The sequence below is a fragment of the Homo sapiens genome, chromosome 11, assembly GCF_000001405.40.
Source record: "Homo sapiens chromosome 11, GRCh38.p14 Primary Assembly".
In the NCBI taxonomy this organism is placed as follows: Eukaryota; Metazoa; Chordata; class Mammalia; order Primates; family Hominidae; genus Homo; species Homo sapiens.
The window spans coordinates 35,887,309-35,896,143 of record NC_000011.10 but is presented as its reverse complement, the minus strand read 5'-3'; the positions used below and the strand labels follow the sequence as shown (position 1 = coordinate 35,896,143).

Sequence of the window (8,835 nt, the reverse complement as noted above, 5' to 3'; positions counted from 1 at the left end):
CCCCATTTCTCACTCACCAACAAATGGGGACTTTTCCAGCAAAGACCATTAGGCTAATGACAACAAATGACTTACTTGGGGAAAGCTTCCTGTAGGAAGTGGCATCTGATGTGGTCTTCAAAGAGAGGCAGGGAACTTCTACATAGAGAATCATCCAGCAATGAATTCAAGTCTAAGAATACCAAAAACCAAACTGAACCAAAACAGAAAACAAAATTCTAGACCAAAATGTTTATTTTATTTTATATTTTGAGATAGAGTCTCACCCTGTTGCCCAGGCTGGCATGCAGTGGCACAATCTCAGCTCACTGCAACCTCTGCCTCCCAGGTTCAAGAAATTATCCTGCCTCAGCCTCGAGAGTAGCTAGGACTACAGGCACGTGCCACCATGTCTGGCTAATTTTTTTGTATCTTTAGTAGAGATGGAGTTTCGCCATGTTGGCCAGGCTGGTCTTGAATTCCTGGCCTCACATGATCCGCCCACCTTGCCCTTCCAAAGTGTTGGGATTACAGGCATGAGCCACCGCACCCAGCCCCAAAATATTTTTTTAAATGAAAACATTTAGATTTTGTTAGTTTTCTAGTGCTATATAACAACTTACCACACACTTCACAGCTTAATGGGGGCCAAAATTCTGTCTACCACAGACACAAACACGGAAAAACAAAACTGGCTTCTGGAAGGGACTGAAGAACCCTAAAGACAAGTCTAGTCTCCCAAGGATAAAAAAGCAACTACCATTTTGATTTTGGAGATAAGCCCTACCTTCTCTCTTTTTAGATGTTCATCAGCTTTTCAATGGAATCTGAAATTTAAAAATTTGTTATAAATTCTTATGAAGACATAATCTGAAATTTTACGTTAAACTGGTTAAAGGTAACCAGGATCTAATAATTTGTCAAAGAGGATGAATATGGGATGCTTTTCTTGAATGCCTGAAACTCTTCTTAATCCAGAGCTTCTCTAAGTGTGGCCAGATGGTGGCTTGGAAATACCCATTCAGCGAGGCATGGTGGTTCACGCCTGTAATCCCAGAACTTTGGGAGTCCGAGGCGAGCAGATCATGAGGTCAGATCGAGACCATCCTGGCTAACACGGTGAAACCCCGTCTCTACTAAAAATACAAGAAAAAATTAACTGGGCGTGGTGGTGGGCACCTGTAGTCCCAGCTACTCGGGAGGCTGAGGCAGGAGAACAGCGTCAACCTGGGAGGCAGAGCTTGCAGTGAGCTGAGATTGTGCCACTGCACTCCAGCCTGGGTGACAGAGCAAGACTCTGTCAAAAAAAAAAAAAAAAAAAAAAAAAGCCCATTCATAGGGGCACCCAATGAATAAGAATTACTGGAATGAAACTGGAGTCTGTGTTTCTAACACACACTCCAGGTGATCTTTAAGCCCCCAAAATTTGACTCCCACAGCTCTCTTCTTTCCCCTGTATTACAGCAAAATGCAATCATCCCAAGTACCCAAAAGAGGTCTCAGACCATTGCCTTAGAGAAATGCAAGGAGAGCTAACAATTTCTAGCTCATGAGGATGGCCTGCTGACTTCCATGTTAAGTCAAGGGGTACCTCAAACTCTGGAGATGAGGACAGGAGAGTGGAGAGGCGAGGGAGTTAACATGGACAAGTGAGTGCGTGTTATGTGCAGGGAAGCAGGTTTTCTACTCACAGATAACACAGGTATGTGGATGGATACACAGTATGAATTTCTCCTAGGCTAGCCCGTCTGACTTCATAGATGGGGCTCTTCCCTTCTCCTGACAGTCAGGAGAGTTTTTTCTGTCCATCTCCTCTGAACTCTTGCCTCATCCCGGGAAGCAGAGCCAAGCCCTGAGGCAGCTTCGACCGCAGGAATGTCACAGGCACAGGTGTTTCTGGATTTACTGAACTCTTGCCTTGAAGCCAAAACAGCTGGGCTTACTGCAGCCCATTTATCCTGCTCCTTTTCTGCCCACTTTTCTCACTCATCTCTGACCCAAGGCTTGTGGTAAAGCACATCAGCATAGACTTGGGTGCAGGTAACAGCTGCCTGGAGGTGCCTGGGCATGTGTAAATTCAGGGCTGTCACCTCATTCCTCATTTAGGCAGCTGGCCAGCACCCGAGGGATTTTTCTGGATCTGCCAAGCACACATCTGAAGCTGAGAGCAGAGAGAGGGTAGGGGAGCAGGGAGGCAGCTGGGTGTTGAGGAAAGAAGGCTTTGAAAGCAACAGACCTAGACTTTGAACCCACACCTGCCACGTCCCGTATGACAATGGGCAAGTCACTTACCCTTCAAGGGCCTCATTTTTTATCGTTAAAATAGGCCTTTGACCTATTTCTTGCAGGTTTGTGTTGTGGATTAAGAAAAATGCTATGAAAGTGTTTGTTAAAATGATTGTCACATAGTAAGCCTTCTTTTTTGTTAGGGTCTTTTCTCCAATATTAAAAGCTTGCTTTGGCAAGTTACTTCTCCTCAGTGCCTCAGTTTCTTCATTTGTAAAGCAGGGACAATCATAGTATCTCACGGGGTAGTTGTGAGGCTTAAACGAGTTAATATATGCAAAGCTCTTTAGAACAGTGCCAACACATTGAAAGTTTTCAAGATGCATGAATTTTTAATTATATGCCTACTTACATTCACAACTCCTTTGGGGTCATAGGGGATGTTATGGAGAAGGCTGGAAACCTGAGAATCCAAGATAGGCCCAGTCTCTTTACAGCTGGAAAAGCAACTACCTGTCTTGATTCAGGCTGCTATAACAAAGTGCCATTGTGTTAGTCCATTTTGCATTCCTATAGAGGAATACCTGAGACTGGGTAATTTATAAAGGAAAGAGGCTTATTTGGCTCACGATTCTGCAGGCTATACAAGCATGGCACCCACATCTGCTTGGCTCCTGGTAAGGCCTCAGAAAGCTTACAATCATGATGAAAGGCAAAGGGGGAGCAGGCGTATCACATGGCGAGAGAGAGAGAGGAGGTCCCCATCTCTCTCTTGTTTTTTTTTTTTTTTTAAACAACCAGAAAGATCGCATGTGAACTTATTATTGTGGGGAGGGCATCAAGATATTCATGAGGGATCCACGCCCATGACTCAAATACCTCCCACTGGACCCACCTTCCACATTGGAGGTCACATTTCAGCATGAGATTTGGAAGGGACAAACATGCAAACTATATCAGCTGTAAACTGGGTGGTTTATAAACAACAAAAATTTATTTCTTGTGGTTCCAGAGGCTGCAAGTCCAAGCTCTGGGCTCCAGTATGGTCAGTTCTAGTGAGGGTCTTCTTCCTGGTTGCAGAGTGTCCACTTCTCCTTGTATCTCCACATGGCAGAAAGAGGGAGGGCAAGAAAGTTCTCTGGGGTTCCCTTTACAAGGTCACTCATCCCATTCATGAGGGTTCCACCCTTATGACCTAATTACCTTCCAAAGGACCCACCTCCAAATACCATCACATTGCAAATTCGATTTTAACTTATGAGTTTTAGGGGGACACTAATAGTCCATCCCACTACCCTTCTGATTTTTCAGACAAGTTCCCCTTTTTTGTCTGGAATGGAGAGAGGCTTTTCTTGCAGAGAAGGCCCAGCTAACTCCCTTCTTTTACGACATAAGTTCCAGTGTGCAGACAAATTATATTAATTATCTACTGCTACATAATAGATTACCCCAAAACATAGTGGTTGAAACCAAACTTTTATTATCTGTGGATTTCTGTGGGTCAGGAGTCTGGGAACACTTCAGTTGAATGGCTGACTCAGGCTCTCTCATGTGGTTGCAACTAAGGTTTTGGCTGGAGCTGCAGTCCTCTCTGAAGGCTTGGTGGGGTAAGGGAGCTGTTCCTGAGATGGTCACTCATTTGTCATTTGGCAGGAGATTTCGGTTCCTAACCATGGGCATTGCTTCTTAGGCTATTGGAATGTCCTTACAAAATGGAAGCTGGCTTCCTACAGAGCAAGATGGAAGAGGGACGGAGATGGAAGCTGCATTATCTTTGTCTTTTATGATGTAGCCTCAAAATTAACACATCATTTCTGCAATTTCTACTCATTGGAAGCTAGTCATTAGGACCAGCCCACATTCAAGAGGAAGCATTGTCAAAGAATTTGAGGTCATATTTAAAACGTCCTTATATTTAAAATACCAATAACGATAGATATCAAATACATGGCAGATTAGGGAAGGAGGTTGATTTCCAAATAAGCCAGGGTCTTTGTTCTCTGTCCTTTGAATTCAGAGTGTCTTCGTTCAATGTCCTTTTTTCTCTGTCCAGTTGACCCTTCCTGGAAAGAGATTTGAAATTTCCAGTTTCCAACAATGTTGAAAACAGGCCCGGAAATGGAAGGAAGAGAAAATCGTTATGGCTCATACCACAAGCTCTTATTGAATGCCTTCATTATGCTGCATCCTACTTGGGCATTAGAAGTAAAGCGAAGAGTAACACAAATCTCTGTTCTTGGGGTACCTGCTGTCTAGTGGAAAGAGTAATAAAGAGAACATAAGAATAAAATAGGATAAGGTGGTCTTTACCTCACCCCCTATTTTCCATGTATATCCTTTTCTTTCCCAGAAATTATCACGAATAGGATTTTATCAGGTATTTGTTTGTTTTACTTATTTATTAGTGTTTCTTCCCACTGTATTCCTAGGACCTAGCCCAGTGGCTGCTATATGGGAACACTCAGTAAATACTTGTGAATGAATAACTGTGATGAGGTAAGCACAGTGAACTATGGCAGCAAGCAGGAGGGATGCCCAACTCAGCCTTGAAGGAGGCTTTCCTGGAGGAAGCACTCCTGTGTTGAGATTTGAGGTGAGAATTGGAGTTAGCAGGGTGGAGCAAGGGCATGTTGTTCCCACCCTCCAGGTACAGCATTCCAAACTGAAAGAGAGTCCAGTGCATCCAAGGGGCTGCAAAGACTTCCATATGCTGGAGGAGAGAAGCAGGGGTTGGCGGAGGGTGGGGTTAGGAGAGTGGAGGGAGGATTGCAGAGGGAGGAGTGAAAGATAAGGGAAAGATACAGCAGGATCAGGTTATTAAGAACTTACCAGCAGGGCACAGTGGCTCATCCCTGTAATCCCAGCACACTGGGAGGCTGAGGCAGAAGGAATACTTGAGCCCAGGATTTCAAGACCAGCCTGGGCACCATAGCCAGACACCATCTCTAAAAAAATAAAATAAAAAATTAGCCAGGCATTGTGAGACGGGAAGATTGCTTGAGCTCAGGAGTCAAGGCTGCCATGAGCTGTATTTGTGCCATTGTATTCCAGCCGGGTGACATAGTGAGACCCTGTTTCAAAACAAAAAACAAACAAAAACTTGTGAGAAAATCTGAGGAATAGAAATTTCATCATAAAAACAATGGGGAACTATTGAAGGTAATGAAGTAAGGCAGGGGTCCCCAACCCCAGGGCCATGGACCGGTACTGGTACAGCAGGAGGTGAGTGGCAGGGGAGTGAGCATTATTGCCTGAGCTCCACCTACTAATGCTGTGGCTGATCTGACAGATTCTTATAGGAGCGTCAACCCTATTGCAAACTGCGCATTTGAGGGATCTAGGTTGTGTGCTCTCTATGAGAATCTAATGTCTGATGATTTGTGGTGGAACAGTTTCATCCCAAAACCATCCCCCCACCATTCGTGGAAAAACTGGCTTCCATGAAACCGGTCCCTGGTGCCAAAAAGATTGGGGGCGACTGAAGTAGGGGAATGACAAGGCCAGGTACCAAAGTCTTTGAAGTTCTAGCAAGGATGTGAAGGGCCACCCCAGGTTCTCCTCTAAGGTTTGAGAATGGGGGTTATATATGCCCCAAGAGCTAGAATCCAGAAGGTAACACTGCAGAAGGTATTTCTGGACAATCTTTCTGTAGGGTGCACAGCCTCCCAGACCCATCTCGTGGTGAGGGGCAAGTGTCCTACCATGGGGGCAGGTGCATGGTGCATCAGATGCCTCAGGCCATGAGGTCAGGTCTCACTAGGCCCCCACCCAGAGGCCCTCACAGCATTCAGAAAGTAAGCCCTGGCTCTTCCATGCTCCCTGGCTGCCTTTCAAAAGCAGAGTTGCTCCTCGAACCTAATTATTTTACTAGAGCTTAGAGACTATGAGTTGGAAAACACATTTTTTCTACAACATAAGAAAATGTGCTGCTTCCTAGGCACCCTCCTCCCCACTGGACTTATTTGTGGAATGTGCAGAATAATAGAAAAGCAGTTTTCTCTTAGAGGCATATGGAAAATGGTTTGTTTGCTTAGAAGAAAATCATAACTTGCTGTCTTTTTTCCCCCAGAGGAAAATTAAAACTCTCACACATTTAATCTTTTCAATCCTTTGTTCGTCTTGTACTTTTGAATCAAAACGTAGGCATGGGGAAAGTTAGTGCTTGTTGATGAAGAGGAAATCTTAGTTGAAGGGTTAGATCTACTGGCCGAACTATAGGGATTCTGAACTCAAATTACCCATCAAGTGTCTCCAAGGCAAGAATGTGGTCATTGGGCCACAAAGCCAAATGACACGTCTTTCACAGGAGAGAAGATGGTGTTGAATATATATGGCGTGTTTAGCTTGCAGGGTGATTGGAGTCGGGAGACAGGCAGTAGATAAGGATAAAGTGTGAAAAATTCAAACAATCTCCAAAGCAAGCTTGAAATAATCCTTCCTTTGGAGACCTGGTCTTCCCAGTCAAGATGCAAACAAAAGAAAATGGCCTGTCTTTATTTGGTTCACTGGTCCAGAAAATGTGCCCTGGGAAGATAAGGCCGAGCTGGGTGTTTGAGGTGAATACAAGGAGCCAAGAGGCCTTGTTGGGGATTTCTTTCACCCAAGAACTTCCTAAACCTGGAGCGTTCTCCTTGAAGAGGACACTGGAGCTGGCTGCTGCTGCTTTCTTTAAACAGACTCAGAAGTTCTTTTCTTGGTAACACGAGAAACTATATGCAGGGCTTCAAGGACACATTCTGAATGATGATTTATGCTAAGTTGTTTAGCCTCTCCTCCCCGCCAATAATTCTTCCAGAGAGCATTTAGCTGATTTGGAAAAAGTATATCAAATCCCCCAGAGAACAGGGTGTATCTTAACAGTGGATGAATGTAATTCTGGTCATTATCTAAATGCTCAAAGCTTTACAAACTGAGTAACCCAAATGCACAGAAAACTGCTTGTCAGCTTCTGAAGAGGGGAGAAAGTTTGTTACTCCTGAGGGGAAGCTGAGAGTGGATGGGGAAAATGGAGATTGATTCTCTGGACAGGCCATTTGAATAGCCTTGTGGGTATTTCCAGAAGTGAACTAAATTCATCACACCTTCCTCCTTAAAAAAACACCTTACTAAGCAACTAATATTTGCCAAGAGTTTTGCTCAGTGCTTGTAAAGGTTTACCAAAACCTGGCCAGTAAATCTTGAGCAAAGGAAACACATGTGCTAAGCTCCACATTCAATTTAGCTTTCTGCCAGGGACACTTTCTAAGTGGCAGCACAAGGAATTAAATCCCACAAGACAGCACTAGTTTCACTGGGTGGAGTCAGCAGAGTTCAGACTTCAGGCTGTGGAAGTGGCTGGAATTTCTTTTTTCTTTTTTTGAGATGGAGTCTCACTCTGTCACCCAGGCTGGAGTGCAGTGGCGTGATCTCGGCTCACTGCAACCTCTGACTCCCTGGTTCAAGCGATTCTCCTGCCTCAGCCTCCTGAGTAGCTGGGATTACAGGCGCCCGCCACCATGCCCAGCTAATTTTTGTATTTTTTAGTAGATATGGGGTTTCAACATGTTGGCTAGGATGGTCTTGATCTCCTGACATTGTGATCTGCCCGCCTCGGCCTCCCAAAGGGCTGGGATTACAGGTGTGAGCCACCATGCCCAGCCAGTGGCTGGAATTTCAATAGAAGGATATCAAAGAAGAAAGAGCCAAACAGGGAAGATGCCCTAGAAATCTGCCTATGGGTCCCCTTCAGTCTTTGGTCAAATACAAAGCTGCACATGTGCAACAGGACCCTGCATAGCCTAGCAGAGGGTACCTACTGAGGGTCTGTGCGCTGGCTGGAGATTCTTGAGGTTACACAGCAATGACAGACATTGGATTTCTGGCCAATCATAGTTCAGCTCTATCACTGAACACTCTGGGCATTCAGTTGAGATCCCAGAAAGGCCAATCCTTAGAAACAGGACTGCTCTAGCCCTAGCCTATGGGCTATTCCTGGCCTACTTTAACAAAGCTTAGAAACAAGCCTCAGCAGGATCAAGCTAAACCACAAATAAATTAAATGCTTGCCTTAGCAATACTCAACACCCTAAAGGAAAACAACATAATCCAAACTCAACATTGTAGCATTCATAAGGCCCAGCATTCAATAAAAAAATTACTAGACATACAAAGTGGTAAGAAAACGTGACCCACAACCCAGCGAATAAAGTCAGTAGAAATGGGACTAGAGATGCCACAGTTATTGACAGTAGCAGACAAAGACTTTAAAACAGCTAGTAGAAATAAGTTCAAGAATTAAAAGGAAGGATGGACACATTAATAAAGAAATCTCAATGGAGAAAGAGAAACCTTAAAAAGAGACAAGTGGAAATTACAGTACTAGAAAGCATACTTCATGAAATAAAAAATTCACCGTATCTAATGCTTAACATTAGATTGAATAATGCATAAGAAAACATCAGTGAGCTTGAAAACAGGTCAACAGAAATTATCTAAACTGCACTGAGAAAAAAAGCATTAAAAAGTATAAAGACTCGGTGATCTGTCGGAAAACATCAAGCAGTATAATACATGTGTAAGTGGAGTCCCAAAAGAAGAGAGAAAAAAATGAGACAGGAAAAGAAGTTGAAGTAATGGCCACTTTCCCCAAAA

General features: G+C 44.1%; 1 long non-coding RNA gene across 1 annotated transcript; it reads right to left on the bottom strand.

Annotated features, from left to right (window-relative positions):
• Positions 1–3,177: 3,177 nt before the first annotated feature.
• LOC124902661 (uncharacterized) lies at positions 3,178–5,068 on the bottom strand. Its single transcript, XR_007062655.1, has 2 exons — positions 5,035–5,068; positions 3,178–4,268 (listed from the first exon to the last, which is right to left on the bottom strand). It is a non-coding gene; the product is annotated as an uncharacterized LOC124902661 (long non-coding RNA).
• Between the last annotated feature and the right edge of the window lie 3,767 nt (positions 5,069–8,835).